Source organism: Homo sapiens, chromosome Y (assembly GCF_000001405.40).
Source record: "Homo sapiens chromosome Y, GRCh38.p14 Primary Assembly".
In the NCBI taxonomy this organism is placed as follows: Eukaryota; Metazoa; Chordata; class Mammalia; order Primates; family Hominidae; genus Homo; species Homo sapiens.
The window spans coordinates 11,302,010-11,321,532 of NC_000024.10; the positions used below are offsets into that span (position 1 = coordinate 11,302,010).

The following is a 19,523-nucleotide window of genomic DNA, read 5'->3' on the forward strand; positions in this document are numbered from 1 at the left end:
CAATCCATTCCACTCCATTCCACTAGTGTTGATTCCATTCCATTCCATTCCATTCCATTCCATTCCATTCCATTCCATTCCATTCCATTCCACTCGGATTGATTCCATTCCATTCCATTCCTTTCCATTCCATTCCACTCTTGTTGATGCCATCCAATTCCATTACATTACATTACATTCCCTTCCATTCCATTCCATTCTAGTAAATTCCGGTTTATTCCATTCCATTCCATTCCATTCCATTCCATTCCATTCAATTCAATTCCACTCCACTCCACTCCACTCCACTCCGTTCCGTTCCGTTCCGTTCCGTTCCGTTCCGTTCCATTCCATTCCATTCCATTCCATTCCACTGTGGTTAATTCCATTCCTTTCAATTCCATTCCATTGCATTCCATTCCATTCCATTCCATTCCATTCCATTCCATTCCATTCCAGTAAATTCCGGTTTATTCCATTCCATTCCATTCCATTCCGTTCCATTCCATTCCATTCCATTCAATTCCACTGTGGTTGATTCCATTCCTTTCAATTCCATTCCTTTCCATTCCCTTCCTTTCCATTTCATTCCTCTCTTGTTGATTTTTTTCCATTCCATTCATCTCCATTAGTTTCCATTCCATTCCATTGCATTCCCTTCCCTTCCTTTCCATTCCGTTTCATTCCCCTAGTTTTGATTCCATTCCATTCCATTCCATTCCATTCCTTTCCATTCCATTCCATTCCATTCCCTTCCATTCCATTCCACTCGGAATGATTCCATTCCATTCCATTCCATTCCATTCCATTCCATTACATTACATTTCATTCCGTTCCTTTCTATTCCATTCCATAACATTCCATTCCAGTCTTGTTGATGCCATCCGATTCCATTCCATTCCATTACATTCCCTTCCCTTCCATTCCATTTCATTCCAGTAAATTCCGGTTTATTCCATTCCATTCCATTCTGTTCCATTCCATTCCATTCCATTCCATTCCATTCCATTCCATTCCACTCCACTCCACTCCACTCCACTCCATTCCACTCCATTCCATTCCATTCCATTCCATTCCATTCCATTCCATTCCATTATATTCCATTCCATTCCTGTTGATTCCATTCCATTGCATTCCATTACACTCGGATTGATTCCTTTCCATTCCATGCCATTCCATTCCATTCCATTCCCCTCGTGTTGATTCCATTCGATTCCTTTCTATTCCATTCCACTCGGATTTATTCCTTCCCATTCCATTCCATTCCGTTCCATTCCATTCCATTCCATTCCATTGTGTTCCATTTCTTTCCATTGCATTCCATTCCATTCCAGTCGGGTTGATTCTATCCCGTTCCATTCCGTTCCGTTCCATTCCATTCCATTCCATTCCATTCCATTCCATTACATTCCATTTCTTTCCATTGCATTCCATTCCGTTCCAGTCGGGTTGATTCCATTCCATTCCATTCCATTCCATTCCATTCCATTCCATTCCATTCCAATCCATTGCATTCCATTCCGTTCCATTCTATTCCGTTGCATTCCAACTGACTCAATTCCATTCTATTCCATTCCATTCCGTTCCATTCCATTCCATTCCATTCCATTCCATTCCATTCCATTCCACTCCACTGCACTCCATTCCATTCCATTGCATTCCATTCCATTCCATTCCATTCCATTATATTCCATTCCATTCCTGTTGATTCCATTCCTTTGCATTCCATTACACTCGGATTATTCCATTCCATTCCATGCCATTCCATTCCATTCCCCTCGTGTTGATTCCATTCGATTCCTTTCTATTCCATTCCACTCGGGTTGATTCCTTCCCATTCCATTCCGTTCCGTTCCATTCCATTCCATTCCATTCCATTCCATTCCATTCCATTCCATTCCATTCCATTCGATTCCATTCCATTGCGTTCCATTTCTTTCCATTGCATTCCATTCCATTCCAGTCGGGTTGATTCTATCTCATTCCATTCCATTCCGTTCCATTCCATTCCATTCCGTTCCATTTCTTTCCTTTGCATTCCATTCCGTTCCAGTCGGGTTGATTCCATTCCATTCCATTCCATTCCATTCCATTCCATTCCTTTCTGTATATGTCCACGGATATCCCTGTATAAAACCTGGGTGATCAGTGCAGTGATATGTCACAATGCCATTTAGCCATGGCGTACAGTATAGTTACATCACCTGGGAGATCATTGTAGAGATATGTCACAATGTCCCCAGTAGGCAGAGACCAGACAATATTTGGATCTCCTTGGGATCAGTGCAGAGATATGTCTCAATACCCCTGTGGGCATAGCATAGATTAGTGTTACATCACCTCGGTTAACATTGCAGAGATATGTCTAAATGCCCCTGTAGGCACAACCTACACAACTGTTACATCACTTAGGTGATCACTGCAGAGATATGTCACATTGCCCCCTGTAAGCAGAGCCTAGACAAGAGTTACATCATCTGGGTGATCAGGGCAGAGATATGTGACAAGGCCCCTTTAAGCAGACCCTCGACAATAGTTACATCACCTGAGTGATCACTGCAGAGATCTGTCACAAGGCCCCTTTAGGCAGAGCTTAGACCAGAGTTACATCACCTGGATGATCATTGCAGAGATATGTCACAATGTCCCCATAGGCAAATCCAAGACAAGCGTTCGTCACCTGGGTGATCATTGCAGAAATATGTGACAATGCCCTCAGGAGGCGGAGCCTACAGAAGAGTCCAATCACCTGCGTGATCAGTGCAGAGATATTTCACAATGCCCCTGCAGGCAGAGTGTAAGCAAGAGTTACATCACCTAGATGATCAGTGCAGAGATATGTCACAAGGCCCCCTATACGCAGAGTCGGACAAGAGTTACATCACCTCAGTGATCAATGCAGTGATATGTCACTATGCCCCGTAGGCAGAGCCTAGTCAAGCGTTACATCACCTGGGTGATTACTGCAGAGATATGTCACAAAGTCCCCATACACAGAGCCTAGACAAGAGTCCCATCACCTGGGTGATCAGTGCAGAAATATGTCACAATGCCCCTATAGGCCGATCGAAGACAAGAGTCCTTCACCTGGGTGATCAGTGCAGAAATATGTCACAATGCCCCCTTAGGCAGAGCCTAGATAAAAGCCCCATCACCTGGATGATCAGTGCAGAGTTATGTCACAAATTCCCTTTAGGCAGATCCTAGAGAAAGGTTACATCACTTGGATGATCAGTGCAGAGATATGTCACTATGCTACAGTAGGCAGAGCCTAGACTAGAGTTACATGACCTCGGTGATCAGTGCAGAGATACATCGCAATGTCCCTGTAGGCAGAGCCTTGACAAGTGGTACATCACCTGGGTGATCATTGCAGGGATATGTCACAAAGCACCCTGTAGGCAGATCCTAGAAAAGAGTTACATCACCTGGGTGATCAGTGCAGAGATATGTCACAATGCCACTATAGGTAGAGCCTAGAAAAGATTTACATGACCTAGGTGATCAGTGCAGAGATACATCGCAATGCCCCTGTAGGCAGGGCCTTGACAAGTGGTATATCACCTGGGTGATCATTGCAGGGATATGTCACAAAGCACCCAGTAGGCAGATCCTAGAGAAGAGTTATATCACCTGGGTGATCAGTGCAGAGATATGTCACAAGCCCACTTTAGGCAGAGCCTAGACAAGAGTTACATCTCCTCGGTGATCAATGCAGTGATATGTCACTATGCCCCGTAGGCAGAGCCTAGTCAAGCGTTCCATCACCTCGGTGATCAGTGCAGACATATGTCACAAAGCCCCCATTCACAAAGCCTAGACAAGCGTCCCATCACCTGAGTGATCAATGCAGAGATATGTCACAAAGCCCCCATACACAGAGCCTAGAGAAGAGTCCCATCACTTGGGTGATCAGTGCAGAAATATGTCAAAATGCCCCCATAGGCAGATCCTACACAAGAGTTACATCACCTGGGTGATCTGCGTAGAGATATGTCACAATGCCCCCATAGGCAGAGCGTAGACAAAAGTCCCATCACCTGGCTGATCAGTGCAGAGTTATGTCACAAAGCCCCTGTAGGCAGAGCGTAGACAAGAGTTACATCACTTTGTTGATCAGTTCAGAGATGTGTCCTGCTGACTGTTTCCTCCCGGAGCTCTGCGGGCACCCAGAAACATGCAGGGAAGGGTGGAAGTCTGGCATGGTGCCCTCGCTCTCCTTGCCAGTTTCCAAACCGGCCACACTGCAGACTCCCCATGTTGCGGCACACGGGAATCCATCGTCTGGTCATCACGCCGGGGTGGCATCTTCTCTCTGGGTTCTCGCTCTTGTCTCCTACTTGGAAATGAACGAGAGCCACACGCCTGCGTGTGTGAGACTGTCCTGGCAACAGCGACACCCACAGGCACTGCCTCCTTCACTGAGAGAGGGCTTGGAACACTCCAGACTCCAACGGAGGTTCAGTTCCACACTCCCCTCCACCCTCCCAAGCCGGTTTCTCCCTGCTGAAGACGCATGGGAACCCAGAGAGCAGCTTCCAGTTCCCGCGGGATTCCTGGAGTGGTCCGGAGAGCCAGCCCCCGAATCGTGCCCCCCTCACCCCTACCCCCTCGCCCCCTTCATCTTCGTGTCTCTGGCCCCACCACCGCCATCACCACGCCCACCCCCCACACTCCACCATCCCCCGGCCTCAGGCCTCGACGCCCTGGGACCCTTCCGGGGTGGGGCGTGCTGTCCCAGGGCTCACGGCCATTCATGAAGTTCTGGAACCTGCCTACCTGAGGGCCTTTATAAGAGTCGCTGGCTGGCTGTCCGGGCACGCCTCCTGGCTGCACCTGCCGCAGTGCACAGGACGGCTGTGGTGCACGGGAGCCCGCTGGCCTCTCTGCCCATGTCCGTCCGCGAAATTTCGGCCGGGGCTCCCCGCGATGTCCCACCCGACACCTTCGGACAGCACCCTCCCTGCAGAAGCCCGGGGACGGGGACGGCGAAGGAGACTCGTTTGGACCCGGAGCCAAAGTGAGGCCCTGCGAGCCAGCTTTGAGCGGAACCCATACCCGGGCATCGCCACCAGAAAACGGCTGGCCCAGGCCATCGGCATTCCGGAGCCCAGGTTGCAGATTTTGTTTCAGAATGAGAGGTCAAGCCACCTGAGGCAGCACGGGCGGGAATCTCGGTCCTGGCCCAGGAGATGCGGCCCGCAAGAAGGCAGGCGAAAGCAGACTGCGTCACCGGATCCCAGACGGCCCTTCTCCTCTGAGCCATTGAGAAGGATCGCATTCCAGGCATCGCCGCCAGGGAAGAGCTGGCCAGAGAGACGGGTCTCCCAGAGTCCAGGATTCAGACCTGGTTTCAGAATCGAAGGGCCAGGCACCCGGGATATGCTGGCAGGGCGCCTGCATAGGCCGGCGGCCTGTGCAACGCGGCCCCCCACGGGTATCACCCTGCTCCCTCGTGGGTCGCCTTCGCCCACACCGGCACGTGGGGAACAGGGCTTCCCGCACCCCACGTGCCCTGTACGCCTGGGGCTCTCCCACAAGGGGCTTTCATGAGCCAGGGATCGAGAGCCATCCCCGTGCTCCAGCCCAGCCAGGCCGCGCCAGCAGAGGGGATCTCCCAACCTGCCCCGGCATGCGGGGATTTTGCCTACGCCTCCCCGGCTCCTCTGGAAGGGGCTCTCTCTCACCCTCAGGCGCCTCGGTGGCCTCCGCACCCAGGCAAAAGCCGGGAGGGCTGTGACCCGCAGCGCCACGGCCTGCTGGGCCCTTGCCTGGTGGGACAGCCTGGGCCGGCTCAAGCGGGGCCACAGGGCTAAGGAGTGCTTGCGCCACCCGCGTCCCAGGGGAGTCTGTGGTGGGGCTGGGGCCAGGGACCCCAGGTCCCCGATGCGGCGTGGGAACCACAAGCCGGGCCGCTCCACCTCGCCAGCCCGTGCCCCCGGATGCCTCCACGCTGCAGGGGCAGTAGCAAGCCATCCCGGTGCCCTCCCAGGCACTCCAGTAGCCTGGGCGCTCGTCTGCACTCCCCTCCGGCCTGCTGCTGGATGAGCTCCTGGTGAGCCCGGAGTTTCTGCAGCAGGCGCAACCTTTCCTAGAAACGGAGGCCCGGGGGAGATGGAGGCCTTGGAAGAGGCCGCCTCACTGGAAGCACCCCTCAGCGAGGAAGTATACCGTTTTCTGCTGGAGGAGCTTTAGCACGCGGGATTGGGACGGGGTCGGGTCGGGGCAGGGTGGTGGCCTCTCTTTCGCGGGGAAAACCTGGCTGGCTATGGAGGGGTGTGTCTTCCCCCCCCTCCACTGGGCTGACCGGCCTGGGATTCCTGCCTTCTAGGTATAGGCCCGGTGAGAGACTCCACACAGCGGAGATCTGCCATTCTTTCCTGGGCATCCCGGGGATCCCAGAGCCGGCCCAGGTACCAGCAGGTGGGCCACAGACTGTGCACGCGCCGGTTAGCGGGCAGCCACGTGGGCTGTGGGAGCAGCCCGGGAAGAGCTCTCATGCCTTTCCACCCCCACAACCCCGCCTGACCAACGCCTCCCCACCCCCACCCACCAGCCCCGGAAAGTGCATCCTCCCCTGGGATGGGTGGAAATCCCCATCCCACGAAACACCGGCCCGCACAGCTCCAGGCCTGACACCCCTCTGGCAGCTCGCATCCTCTGGGCCTCTGCGCCACCGTCGCCCAGCCGCCGGTACCCTGCAGCATCCCAGCTGCCACCATGGAGCACTTGGCGGTGGAACACAGACCTCTAGCTCTCCTTGCCGGCCTCCTGGCTAGACCTGCGCTCATTGCGCACTCCGGCTGACGTGCAAGGGAGCCCGCTGGCCTCTCTGTGCCCTTTTCTGTCCCTGAAATTCCTGTTGAGGCTCTCCCAACACCTTCCGACGCTCGTTAGTCAAAGCCTGGAGAATAGTTACATATCCTGGATGAGCAGTTCAGAAATATGGCACAATGTCCCCTCCCTGTGGAGCCTAGAGAAGATTTGCATCATTTGCGTGATCAGTGCAGAGATATATCACAATGTCCCCTGTACAAGAAGCCTGGAAATGATTTACATCACCTCGGTGATCAGTGCATAGGTATGTCAGAAATCCCCAGTAGGCTGAACTTAGACAAGGGTTACATCACTTAGGTGATCAGTGTAGAGATAAGTCATAAATCCTCCTGTAAGCAGAGTGTAGAAAAATGTTTCCTCCCTCGGGTGATCAGCGCAGAGATATGTCACAAAGCCCCTATAAGCAGAACCTTGACATGGGTTACATCACCTGTTTGATCAGTGGAAATATATATCACAAAGCCTCCTGTAGGCAAAGCCCAGACAATTGTTACATCACCTGGGTGAGCAGTGGAGAGATCTGTCACAATGCCCCTGTAGGCAGAGCTTAGACAAGGGTTACATCACCTGGGTGATCAGTGCAGAGATATGTCAAAACGCTCCTGTAGGCTGAACCTAGACAGGAGTTACATCACCCAGGTGGTCAGTGCAGAGACATGTGAGAATTCCCATGTAGGCAGAGCCTAGACAAGTGTAATATCACCTAGGTTATCAGTGCAGGTATAAGTCATACAGCCTCCTGTAGGCAGAGAGTAGACAAGAGTTCCCTCCCCAGGGTGATCAGTGCAGAGATGTGTCACAAAACCCCTGTAGGCAGAGCTTAGACAAGAGTTTCATCACTTGGTTGATCAGTTCAGAGATGTGTCACAATGTCCATGTAGGCAGATCTAAGACAACAGTCCATCACCTGGGTGATCAGTGCAGAGATATGTACCAATGACCCAAGTAGGCAGTGCCTAGACAAGAGTTGCATCACCTCAGAGATCAGTGCTTAGATATGTCAGAAAGCCTTCTGTAGGCAAAGCCCATACAAGGCTTACATCACCTAGGAGATCAGTGTAGTGGTATGTCACAAAAATCCCTGTAGACAGAGCCTAGACAAGAGTTACATCACCTGGGTGATCATTGCAGCTATTTGACACAATGCCCCCATAGACAGAGCCTAGACAAGACTTCCATCACCTGGGTGATCAGTGCAGAGAAATGTCACAAATCCCCCTCTAGGCAGAGTATAGAGAAGATTCCTATCACCTGGGTGATCAGTGCCGAGATATTTCAAAATGCCTCCTGTAGGCAGAGAGTGGATAAGAGTTACATAACATATGTGATCTGTGCAGAGCTATGTGAAAACGCCCCTGTAGGCAGAGCCTAGAAAAATGTTACATCACCTGGTTGATCAGTGCAGAGATACGTCACAATACACCCTGTAGGTGGAGCCTAGACAAGAGTTACATCACCTGGGTGATCAGTACAGACATATGTCACAGAGCACCTGTAGGCAGAGCCTAAACAAGTGTTACATCTCCTGGGTGATCAGTGCAGAAATATGTCACAAAGCCCCTGTAGGCCGAGCCTAGACAAAAGTTACATCTCCTGGGTGATCAGTGCAAATATATGTCACAATGCCCCCATAGACAAATCGCAGAAAATTGTTACATCACCTGGGTGATCAGTGGAGATATCTGTCACAATTCCCATTTAGGCGCAGCTTAGACAAGCTTTACATCCCATGAGTGATCAGTGCAGAGATATGTAACTATGCCCCCATAGGCAGATCCAAGACAAGAGTCCATCACCTGGTTGATCAGTGCAGAAATATGCCACAATGCCACCAGTAGGCAGATATAGACAAGAGTTACATCACCTGCGTGATCACTGCAGAGATATGTCACAATGCCCCTGTAGGCAGAGCCTAGACAAGAGTCCCATCACCTGGGTGATCAGTGCAGAGTTATGTCAAAATGCCCCCTTTTGGCAGAGGCTAGACAAGGGTTACATCACCTGGGTGATCAGTGCAGAGATGTGTCACAAGCCCCCTGTACCCAGAGCCTAGACAAGAGTTACATCAGGTGTGTGATCAGTGCAGTGACATGTCACAATGTCTCTGTAGCCATATCCTTGAGAATAGTGACATCACCTGGGTGATCGGTGCGGAGATATGTCACAATGCCTCCAGTATGCAGAGCGTAGACAAGAGTTACATCACCTGGGTGATCAGAGCAGAGATATGTCACAATGCCCCCGGTAAGCAGATCCCAGACAAGAGTTGCATCACCTCGGTGATCAGTGCACAGATATGTCTCAATGCCCCCTGTCGACAAAGCCTATACAAGAGTTACATCATCTCGGTGATCAGTGCAGTGCTATGTGAAAATGCCCCTGTAGGCAGAGCCTAGACAAGAGTTACATCACCTGGGTGATCAGTGAAGAGATATGTCATAAATCCCACTGTAGGCAAAGCCTAGACAAGTTTTACATCACATCAGCGGTCAGTGCAAAGATATGTCCCAATGTTCCTCTAGGCAGAGCTTATACAATAGTCACATCTCCTGGGTTATCAGGGCAGTGATAAATCACAATGCCCCCATAGGCAGAGCCTAGACAAGAGTTACATAACCCGGGTGATCCGTGCAGAGTAATGTCACAATGCCCTCTGTAGGCAGAGCCTAGAAAAGAGTTACATCACCTGGGTGATCCGTGCAGAGATATCTCACAATACACCCTGTAAGCAGAGCCTAGAAAAGAGTTACATCACCTGGGTGATCAGTGCAGAGATATGTCATAAACCCCACTGTAGGCAAAGCCTAGACAAATTTTACATCACCTAAGTGATCAGTGCAGAGATATGTCCCAATGTCCCTCTAGGCAGAGCTTAGACCAGAGTCACAACTCCTAGGTGATCAGTGTAGAGATAAGTCACAATGCCCCCATAGGCAGAGCCTAGACAAGAGTTAAATAACCAGGGTGATCCGTGCAGAGTGATGTCAAAACGTCCCTTGTAGGCAGAGAAGAGAAAAGAGTTACATCACCTGGGTGATCAGTGCAGAGATATGTCACAATGCCTCCTGTAGGCAGAGCATAGAGAAGAGTTGCATCACCTTGGTGATCAGTGAAGAGATATGTCACAATGTCCCCTGTAGGAAAAGCCTAGAGAATAGTTACATCACCTTTGTCTTCAGTTCAGGGATATGTGAAAACGCCACTGTACGCAGAGCCTAGACAAAAGTTACATCACCTAGTTCATCAGTGCAGAGATATTTCACAACACCCACTGTAGGCAGAACCTAGACAAGAGTTGAATCACCTGGGTGATTTTGTGCAGAGATATTTCACAGTGCCCCCTTTGGGCAGAGGGTAGACAAGAGTTACATCACCTAGGTGATCAGTGCAGAGATTTGTCAGAATTCCCTGTAGGCAGTGCTTATAAAAGTGTTACATCACCTAGGTGATCAGTGCAGAGATTTGTCAAAATTCCCTGTAGGCAGTGCTTATAAAAGTGTTACATCACCTAAGTGATCAGTGCAGAGATATGTCACAAAGCTCCTGTAGGCAGAACTTGGATGAGTTATATCACCTGGGTTATCAGTGCAAAGGTATGTCACAAAGCCCCCTGTAGGCAAAGCCTAGACAATAGTTACAACAGTTGGTTGATCAGTGGCGAGATCTCTCACAATTACCCTGTAGGCAGAGCTTATACAACAGTTACATCACCTGGGTGATCAGTGCAGAGATATGTCACAATGCCCCCATAGGCAGATCCAAGACAAGAGTCCATCACCTGGGTGATCAGTGCAGAAATATGTCACAATGCCCCCTTAGGCAGATCCTAGACAAAAGCCCCATCACCTGGATGATCAGTGCAGAGTTATGTCACAAAGTCCCGTTAGGCAGATCCTGGAGAAGAGTTACATCACTCGGGTGATCAGTGCAGAGATATGTCACAATGCCACTGTAGGCAGAGCCTAGACAACGGTTACATGACCTAGGTGATCAGTGCAGAGATACATCGCAATGTCCCTGTAGGCAGAGCTTTGACAAGTGGTACATCACCTGGGTGATCATTGCAGGGATATGTCACAAAGCACCCTGTAGGCAAATCCTAGAGAAGAGTTATATCACCTGGATGATCAGTGCAGAGATATGTCACAACCCCCTGTAGGCAGAGCTTAGACAAGAGTTATATCACCTGGGTGATCAGTGCAGTGGTATGTCACAATGCCATGTAGACGGAGCCTAAACTAAAGTTACAGCACCTGGGAGATCATTGCAGAGATATGTCACAATGTCCCCAGTAGGCAGAGACCAGGCAAGAATTGGATCACCTCGGGATCAGGGCAGAGATATGTCTCAATCCCCCTGTGGGCACAGCCTAGACAAGAGTTACATCACCTCGGTTAACAGTGCAGAGATATGTCAAAATGCCTCTGTAGGCAGAGCCTACACAATTGTTATATCACTTAGATGATCAGTGCAGAGATATGTCACAATACCCCTTGTAAGCAGAGCCTAGAGAAGAGTTACGTCACCTGGGTGATCAGTGCAGACATATGTGACAAGGCCCCTTTAAGCAGAGCCTAGACAATAGTTACATCACCTGAGTGATCAGTGCAGAGATCTGTCACAATGCCCCTTTAGGCAGAGCTTAGACCAGAGTTACATCACCTGGGTGATCAGTGCAGAGATATGTCACAATGCCTCCATAGGCAAATCCAAGTTGAGATTCTGTCACCTGTGTGATCAGTGCAGACATATGTGACCATGCCCCCAGTAGGCAGAGCCTAGAGAATAGTCCCATCACCTGGGTGATCAGTGCAGAGATATTTCACAATGCCCCTGAAGGCAGAGTGTAAGCAAGAGTTACATCACTGAGATGATCAGTGCAGAGATATGTCACAAGGCCCCCTATAGGCAGAGCCTGGACAAGAGTTACATCACCTCAGTGATCAATGCAGTGATATGTCACTATGCCCCGTAGGAAGAGTCTAAACAAGCGTTACATCACCTAGGTGATCAGTGCAGAGATATGTCACAAAGCCCCCACACACAGAGCCTAGACAAGAGTCCCATCATCTGGGTTATCAGTGCAGAAATATGTCACAATGCCCCCATAGGCAGATCCTACACAAGAGTTACATCACCTGGGTGATCAGTGTAGAGATATGTCACAATGCCCCCATAGGCAGAGCCTAGACAAAATTCCCATCCGCTGGGTAATCAGTGCAGAGATACGTCACAAAGCCCCGTAGGCAGAGCATAGACAAGATTTTCATCACTTTGTAGATCAGTTTAGAGATGTGTCATGCTGACTGTTTGCTCCCGGAGCTCTGCGGGCACCCAGAAACATGCAGGGAAGGGTGGGAGACTGGCATGGTGCCTTCGCTCTCCTTGCCAGTTTGAAAACCGGCCACACTGCAGACTCCCCATGTTGCTGACCACGGGAATCCATCTTCAGGCCATCACGCCAGGGAGGCATCTTCTCTCTGGTGTCTCGCTCTGGTCTCCTACGTGGAAATGAACGAGAGCCACAAGCCTGCCTGTGTGAGACTGTCCCGGCAACGGCGACACCCACAGGCACTGCCTCCTTCTCGGAGAGAGGGCCTGGAACACCAAAGACTCCCACAGAGGTTCAGTTCCAAACTCCCCTCCACCCTCCCAGAGGGGTTTCTAGCTGCTGAAGACGCGTGGGAGCCCAGAGAGTGGCTTCCAGTTCCCGCGGGATTCCTGGAGTGGTCCGGAGAGCCAGTCCCTGAAACGCGCCCCCTTCACCCCTTCCCCCTCACCCCCTTCCTCTTCATTTCTCCAGCCTCACCACAGCCATCAGCACGCCCTCCCCACCACCCCACCACCACACGGCCGCAGGCCTCGACTCCCTGGGAACGTTCCGTGGTGGGGTGGGCTGTCCCAGGGCTCACCGCCATTCATGAAGGGGTGCAGCCTGCCTGTCTGCGTGCCTTTATAAGAGCCGCTGGCTGGCTGTCCGGGCAGGCCTCCTGGCTGCACCTGCCGCAGTGCACAGGCTGGCTGAGGTGCACGGGAGCCCGCCAGCCTCTCTCTGCCAGTGTCCATCCGTGAAATTCCGGCCGGGGCTCCCCGCGATGGCCCTCCCGACACCTTCGGACGGCACACTCCCCGCGGAAGCCCGGGGACTGGGACGGTCTAGGAGACTCGTTTGGACCCCGAGCCAAAGTGAGGCCCTGCAAGCCTGCTTTGAGCGGAACCCATACCCGGACATCGCCACCAGAGTACCGCTGGCCCAGGCCATCGGCATTCTGGAGCCTAGGGTCCAGATTTGGTTTCAGAATGGGAGGTCACGCCAGCTGAGGCAGCACCGGTGGGAATCTCGGCCCTGGCCTTGGAGACGTGGCCCGCAAGAAGGCAGGCGAAAGCGGACCGCCGTCACCGGATCCCAGACCACCGTGCTCCTCTGAGCCTTTGAGAAGTATCGCTTTCCAGGCATCGCCGCTAGGGAAGAGCTGGCCAGAGAGACGGGCCTCCCGGAGTCCAAGATTCAGATCTAGTTTCAGAATCAAAGGGCCAGGCACCCGGGACAGGGTGGCAGATGGAACACGCAGGCAGGCGGCCTGTACAACGCGGCCCCCAGGGGGTGTCACCCTGCTCCCTCGTGGGTCGCCTTCGCCCACACTAGCACGTGGGGAATAGGGCTTCCAGAACCCCACGTGCCCTGCGCACCTGGTGCTCTCCCACAGGGGGCTTTCATGAGCCAGGGAGCGAGGGCCGCCCCTGTACTGCAGCCCAGCCGGGACACGCCAGCAGAGGGGATCTCCCAACCCGCCCCAGCACGCGGGGATATTGCTTACGCCACCCGGGCTCAATCGGAAGGGGTGCTCTCCCACCCTCAGTCTCCTCGGTGGCCTCCACAACCAGGCATAAGCCAGGAGGACAGGGACCCGCAGCGCGACGGCCTGATGGGCCCTTTCGCGGTGGGACAGCCTGGGCCTGCTCATGCGGGGCCACAGGGCCAAGTTGTGCTTTCCCCACCCACATCCCAGGGGAGTCCGTGGTGGGGCTGGAGCCGGGGTCCCCACGTCGCCGGGTCAGCTTGGGAACTCCAAGTTGGGGCAGTTCCACCTCACCAGCCCACGTCCCCGGAGGCCTCCGCGCGGAAGGGGCAAATGCAGGGCATCCCGGCGCCCTTCCAGGTGCTCCAGGAGCCGGGGCGCTCATCTGCACTCCCCTCCGGCCTGATACTGGATGAGCTCCGGGCGAGCGCGGAGTTTCTGCAGCAGGCGCAACCTTTCCTAGAAATGGAGGCCCCGGGGGAGCTGGAGGCCTTGGAAGAGGCCACCTTGCTGGAAGCACCCCTCAGCAAGGAAGAATACTGGGCTCTGATGGAGGAATTTAGGTCGCGGGGTTGGGACGGTGTCAGGTCGGGGCAGGGCGGTGGCCTCTCTTTCGTGGGGAACACCTTGCTGGCTATGGAGGGGCGTGTCTTCCACCCGCCCCCTCCACTGGGCTGACCGGCCTGGGATTCCTGCCTTCTTGGTCTAGGCCCGGTAAGAGAATCCATACAGCAGAGAACTGCCATTCTTTCCTGGGCATCCTGGGGATACCAGATCCGGCCCAGGTACAAACAGGTGGGCCACCCACTGCGCACGCGCAGGTTTGTGGGCAGCTGCCTGGGCTGTGGGAGCAGCCCGGGCAGAGCCCTCATGCCTTTCCACCACCCCACCCCCGCCTGACCAGACCCACCCCACCCCCACCCCCCACCCACGGAAAATGCTTCCTCCCCTGGGCTGGTTGGAGAAACCCGTCCAGCGAAACACTGGGCCCCTGCAGCATCCAGTCCTGACAGCCCTCCGGAGGCTCGCCTTGTGTGCGCCTCCACGCCACCGTTGCCAGCCCGCGTGTGCCTCTGCAGCCTCCTAGCTGCCACAATGGATAGCCTGGCGGCGGAACGCAGACCTCTAGCTCTCTTTGCCGGCCTCCTGGCTAGACCTGCGCTCATTGCACACCCTGGCTGATGTGCAAGGAGCCCGCTCGCCTCTCTGTGCCCTTGTCCATCTGTGAAATTCTGGCTGAGGTTCTCCCAACACATTCCGACGCTCTTTAGTCAAAGTCTGGAGAATGGTTACATCTCCTGGATGATCGGTTCAGAAATATGTCCCAATGCCCCCTCCCTCCGGAGCCTAGAGAAGATTTGCATCATTTGGGTGATCAGCGCAGAGATATATCACAATGTCCCATGTACAAAAAGCCTGGAAATGATTTACATCACCTCGGTGATCAGTGCATAGGTATGTCAGATATCCCCAGTAGCCTGAACCTAGACAAGGGTTACATCACTTAGGTGATCAGCATAGAGATATGTGAAAATTCCCGTCTAGACACAGCCTAGAGAAGTGTTACATCACCTAGTGATCAGTGCAGGAATAAGTTGTAAAGCATCCTGTAGGTAGAGTGTAGACAACTGATTCCTCCCTGGGGTGACCAGTGAAGAGATATGTCACAAAGCCCCTGTAAGCAGAACCTTGACAACGGTTACATCACCTGTTTGATCAGTGGAAATGTATATCACAAATTCTCCTGTAGGCAAAGCACAGACAATTGTTACATCACCTGGGTGAGCAGTGGAGAGATCTGTCACAATGCCCCTGTAGGCAGAGCTTAGACAAGGGTTACATCACCAGGGTGATCAGTGCAGAGATATGTCAAAACTCTCCTGTAGACTGAACCTAGACAGGAGTAACATCACCAGGGTAATCAGTGCAGAGATATGTGAGAATATCCGTGTAGGCAGAGTCTAGAAAAGTGTTACATCACCTAGGTTATCCGAGCAGGTATAAGTCATACAGTCTCCTGTAGGCAGAGAGTAGACAAGAGTTCCCTCCCCAGGGTGATCAGTGCAGAGATGTATCACAAAGCCCCTGTAGGCAGAGCCTAGACAACAGTTTCATCACTTGGTTGATCAGTTCAGAGATGTGTCACAATGTCCATGTAGGCAGATCTAAGACAAGAGTCCATCACCTGGGTGATCAGTGCAGAGAGATATACCAATGTCCTCTGTAGGCAGTGGCTAGACAAGAGTTGCATCACTTCAGAGATGAGTGCATAGATATCTCACAAAGCCTTCTGTAGGCAAAGCCCGTACAAGGCTTGCATCACCTAGGTGATCAGTGCAGTGATATGTCACAAAAATCCCTGTAGACAGAGCCTAGACAAGACTTACATCACCTGGGTGATCAGTGCAGATATTAGACACAATGCCCCCATAGACAGAGCCTAGACAAGACTTCCATCACCTGGGTGATCAGTGCAGAGATATGTCACAAACCCCCTCTAGGCAGAGTATAGAGAAGAGTCCCATCACCTGGGTGATCAGTGCAGAGATATTTCACAATGCCCCCTGTAGGCAGAGAGAGGATAAGAGTTACATAACCTAGGTGATCTGTGCAGACCTATGTCAAAACGCCCCTGTAGGCAGAGCCTAGATAAATGTTACATCACCTGGGTGACCAGTGTTGAGATACGTCACAATACCCCCTGTACGTAGAGCCTAGACAAGAGTTACATCACCTGGGTGATCAGTGCAGAGGTATGTCACAAAGCCCCTGTAGGCAGAGCCTAAACAAGACTTACATCACCTGGGTGATCAGTGCAGAAATATGTTACAATACCCCCTGTAGTTGGAGCCTACACAAGAGTTACATCTCCTGGGTGATCAGTGCAAATATATGTCACAAAGTCCCCTGTAGACAAATCCCAGAAAAATGTTACATCACCTGGGTGATCACTGGAGGTATCTGTCACAATTCCCCTTTAGGCGCAACTTAGACAAGTGTTACATCACATGAGTGATCAGTGCAGAGATATGTCACTATGCCCCCATAGGCAGATCCAAGACAAGAGTCCATCACCTGGGTGATCAGTGTAGAAATATGCCACAATGCCGCCAGTAGGCAGATATAGACAAGAGTTACATCACCTGCGTGATCACTGCAGAGATATGTCACAATGCCCCTGTAGGCAGAGCCTAGACAAGAGTCCCATCACCTGGGTGATCAGTGCAGAGTTATGTCACAATGCCGCCTTTTGGCAGAGCCTAGACAAGGGTTACATCACCTGGGTGATCAGTGCAGAGATATGTCACAAGCCTCCTGTAGCCAGATCTTAGACAAGAGTTACATCAGCTGTGTGATCAGTGCAGTGACATGTCACAATGTCCCTGTAGCCATATCCTTGACAAAAGTGACATCACCTGGGTGATCAGTGCAGAGATATGTCACAATGTCTCCAGTAGGCAGAGTCTGGACAAGAGTTACATCACCTGGGTGATCAATGCAGATATTTGACACAATGCCCCCATAGACAGAGGCTAGACAAGACTTCCATCACCTGGGTGATCAGTGCAGAGATATGTCACAAGTCCCCCTCTAGGTAGAGTATAGAGAAGAGTCCCATCACATGGTGATCAGTGCAGAGATATTTCACAATGCGCCCTGTAGGCAGAGAGTGGAGAAGAGTTACACAACCTAGGTGATCTGTGCAGAGCTATGTCTAAACACCCCTGTAGGCAGAGCCTAGATAAATGTTACATCACCTGGGTGATCAGTGCAGAGATACGTCACAATGCCCCCTGTAGGTGGAGCCTAGACAAATGTTCCATCACCTGGGTGATCAATGCAGAAATATATCACAAAGCCCCTACAGGCCGAGCCTAGACAAGGGTTACATCTCCTGGGTGATCAGTGCAAACATATGTCACAAAGCCCCCTGTAGACAAATCCCAGAAAATTGTTACATCACCTGGGTGATCAGTGTAGATATCTGTCACAATTCCCCTTTAGGCGCAGCTTAGACAAGTGTTACATCACATGAGTTATCAGTGCAGAGATATGTCACTATGCCCCCATAGGCAGATCCAATACAAGAGTCCGTCACCTGGGTGATCAGTGCAGAAATATGCCACAATGCCGCCGGTAGGCAGATATAGACAAAAGTTACATCACCTGCGTGATCACTGCAGAGATATGTCACAATGCCCCTGTAGGCAGAGCCTAGACAAGAGTTCCATCACCTGGGTGATCAGTGCAGAGGTATGTCACAATGCCCCCTTTTGGCAGAACCTACACAAGGGTTGCATCACCTGGGGGATCAGTGCAGAGATATGTCGCAATACCCCCTGTAAGCAGAGCCTAGACAAGAGTTACATCACCTGGGTGATCAGTGCAGAGATATGTGACGAGGCCCCTTTAAGCAGAGCCTAGACAATAGTTACATCACCTGAGTGATCAGTGCAGAGATCTGACGCAATGCCCCTTTAGGCAGAGCTTAGACCAGAGTTACATCACCTGGGTGATCAGTGCAGAGATATGTCACAATGCCCCCACAGGCAAATCCAAGACAAGAGTCCGTCACATGGGTGATCAGTGCAGAAATATGTGACAATTCCCCCAATAAGCAGAGCCTATAGAAGAATCCCATCACCTGGGTGATCAGTGAAGAGATATTTCACAATGCCCCTGCAGGCAGAGCGTAAGCAATAGTTGCATCACCTAGGTGATCAGTGCAGAGAAATGTCACAAGGCCCCCTATAGGCAGAGCATGTACAACAGTTAAATCACCTCGGAGATCAATGCAGTGATATGTCACTATGCCCCGTAGGCAGAACCTAGTCAAGCGTTACATCACCTGGGTGATCAGTGCAGAGATATGTCACAAAGTCCCCATAAATAGAGCCTAGACAAGGGTCCCATCACCTGGGTGATCAGTGCAGAAATATGTCACAATGTCCCCATAGGCAGATCTAACACAAGAGTTACATCACCTGGGTGATAGGTGTAGAGATATGTCACAATGCCCCCATGGGCAGAGCCTAGAATAAAGTCCCATCAGCTGGGTGATCAGTGTAGAGATATGTCACAAAGCCCTGTAAGCAGAGCCTAGACAACTGTTACATCACTTTGTTGATCAGTTCAGAGATGTGTCATGCTGACTGTTTTCTCCCGGAGCTCTGCGGGCACCCGGAAACATGAAGGGAAGGGTTGAAGACCGGCATGGTGCCTTCTCTCTCATTGCCAGTTTCCAAACCGGTCACACTGCAGACTCCCCATGTTGCCGCACACGGGAATCCATCGTCAGGCCATCACTCCGGGGAGGCATCTTCTCTCTGGGGTCTCCCTCTGGTCTCCTACGTGGAAATAAACCAGAGCCACAAGCCTGCCTGTGTGAGACTGTCCCGGCAATGGCGACAGCCACAGGCACTGCCTCCTTCACGGAGAGAGGGTCTGGAACACTCAGGACTCCCACGAAAGTTCAGTTCCACACTCCCCTCCACCCACCCAGGCCAGTTTCTCCCTGCTGAAGACTCATGGGAGCCCAGAGAGCGGCTTCCAGTTCCTGCTGGATTCCTGGAGAGGTCCGGAGAGCCAGCCCCCAAAACGCGCCCCCTTCAGCACTTCCCCCTCGCCCCCTTCCTCTTCGTGTCTCTGGACCCACCCACGCCCTCCTCCCCCACCCCACCAGCCCCCGGCCGCAGGCCGCGACGCCCTGAGACCCTTCTGGGGTGTGTCAGGCTGTTACTGGGCTCACCGCCATTCATAAAGGGGTGGAACCTGCCTGCCTGCGGGCCTTTATAAGAGCCGCTGGCTGGCTGTCCGGGCAGTCCCCCTGGCTGCACCTGCTGCAGCGCACTCGCCGGCTGAGGTGCACGGGAGCCCGCAGACCTCTCTCTGCCCATGTCCGTCCAT

General features: G+C 52.2%; 2 pseudogenes, besides 11 other annotated features; both read left to right on the forward strand.

The window, feature by feature from the left end:
• Positions 110–783: an enhancer, noted in NCBI's record as "OCT4-NANOG-H3K27ac-H3K4me1 hESC enhancer chrY:13457795-13458468 (GRCh37/hg19 assembly coordinates)". NCBI's record gives its function as "activates a minimal SCP1, AML or CMV promoter by ChIP-STARR-seq in naive and primed H9 embryonic stem cells {active_cell/tissue: H9 hESC(naive and primed)}" and the evidence as "EXISTENCE:reporter gene assay evidence [ECO:0000049][PMID:30033119]".
• Positions 784–1,459: an enhancer, noted in NCBI's record as "OCT4-NANOG-H3K27ac hESC enhancer chrY:13458469-13459144 (GRCh37/hg19 assembly coordinates)". NCBI's record gives its function as "activates a minimal SCP1, AML or CMV promoter by ChIP-STARR-seq in naive and primed H9 embryonic stem cells {active_cell/tissue: H9 hESC(naive and primed)}" and the evidence as "EXISTENCE:reporter gene assay evidence [ECO:0000049][PMID:30033119]".
• Positions 1,460–2,133: an enhancer, noted in NCBI's record as "OCT4-NANOG-H3K27ac hESC enhancer chrY:13459145-13459818 (GRCh37/hg19 assembly coordinates)". NCBI's record gives its function as "activates a minimal SCP1, AML or CMV promoter by ChIP-STARR-seq in naive H9 embryonic stem cells {active_cell/tissue: H9 hESC(naive)}" and the evidence as "EXISTENCE:reporter gene assay evidence [ECO:0000049][PMID:30033119]".
• Positions 2,959–3,459: an enhancer, noted in NCBI's record as "OCT4-NANOG-H3K27ac hESC enhancer chrY:13460644-13461144 (GRCh37/hg19 assembly coordinates)". NCBI's record gives its function as "activates a minimal SCP1, AML or CMV promoter by ChIP-STARR-seq in naive and primed H9 embryonic stem cells {active_cell/tissue: H9 hESC(naive and primed)}" and the evidence as "EXISTENCE:reporter gene assay evidence [ECO:0000049][PMID:30033119]".
• Positions 3,460–3,960: an enhancer, noted in NCBI's record as "OCT4-NANOG-H3K27ac hESC enhancer chrY:13461145-13461645 (GRCh37/hg19 assembly coordinates)". NCBI's record gives its function as "activates a minimal SCP1, AML or CMV promoter by ChIP-STARR-seq in naive and primed H9 embryonic stem cells {active_cell/tissue: H9 hESC(naive and primed)}" and the evidence as "EXISTENCE:reporter gene assay evidence [ECO:0000049][PMID:30033119]".
• On the forward strand, positions 4,909–6,182 carry DUX4L16 (double homeobox 4 like 16 (pseudogene); annotated as a pseudogene).
• Positions 7,122–7,623: an enhancer, noted in NCBI's record as "OCT4 hESC enhancer chrY:13464807-13465308 (GRCh37/hg19 assembly coordinates)". NCBI's record gives its function as "activates a minimal SCP1, AML or CMV promoter by ChIP-STARR-seq in naive and primed H9 embryonic stem cells {active_cell/tissue: H9 hESC(naive and primed)}" and the evidence as "EXISTENCE:reporter gene assay evidence [ECO:0000049][PMID:30033119]".
• Positions 9,866–10,367: an enhancer, noted in NCBI's record as "OCT4-NANOG-H3K27ac hESC enhancer chrY:13467551-13468052 (GRCh37/hg19 assembly coordinates)". NCBI's record gives its function as "activates a minimal SCP1, AML or CMV promoter by ChIP-STARR-seq in naive and primed H9 embryonic stem cells {active_cell/tissue: H9 hESC(naive and primed)}" and the evidence as "EXISTENCE:reporter gene assay evidence [ECO:0000049][PMID:30033119]".
• Positions 10,368–10,867: an enhancer, noted in NCBI's record as "OCT4-NANOG-H3K27ac hESC enhancer chrY:13468053-13468552 (GRCh37/hg19 assembly coordinates)". NCBI's record gives its function as "activates a minimal SCP1, AML or CMV promoter by ChIP-STARR-seq in naive and primed H9 embryonic stem cells {active_cell/tissue: H9 hESC(naive and primed)}" and the evidence as "EXISTENCE:reporter gene assay evidence [ECO:0000049][PMID:30033119]".
• Positions 11,053–11,613: an enhancer, noted in NCBI's record as "OCT4-NANOG hESC enhancer chrY:13468738-13469298 (GRCh37/hg19 assembly coordinates)". NCBI's record gives its function as "activates a minimal SCP1, AML or CMV promoter by ChIP-STARR-seq in naive and primed H9 embryonic stem cells {active_cell/tissue: H9 hESC(naive and primed)}" and the evidence as "EXISTENCE:reporter gene assay evidence [ECO:0000049][PMID:30033119]".
• On the forward strand, positions 12,912–14,336 carry DUX4L17 (double homeobox 4 like 17 (pseudogene); annotated as a pseudogene).
• Positions 16,517–17,036: an enhancer, noted in NCBI's record as "OCT4 hESC enhancer chrY:13474202-13474721 (GRCh37/hg19 assembly coordinates)". NCBI's record gives its function as "activates a minimal SCP1, AML or CMV promoter by ChIP-STARR-seq in naive and primed H9 embryonic stem cells {active_cell/tissue: H9 hESC(naive and primed)}" and the evidence as "EXISTENCE:reporter gene assay evidence [ECO:0000049][PMID:30033119]".
• Positions 18,616–19,117: an enhancer, noted in NCBI's record as "OCT4 hESC enhancer chrY:13476301-13476802 (GRCh37/hg19 assembly coordinates)". NCBI's record gives its function as "activates a minimal SCP1, AML or CMV promoter by ChIP-STARR-seq in primed H9 embryonic stem cells {active_cell/tissue: H9 hESC(primed)}" and the evidence as "EXISTENCE:reporter gene assay evidence [ECO:0000049][PMID:30033119]".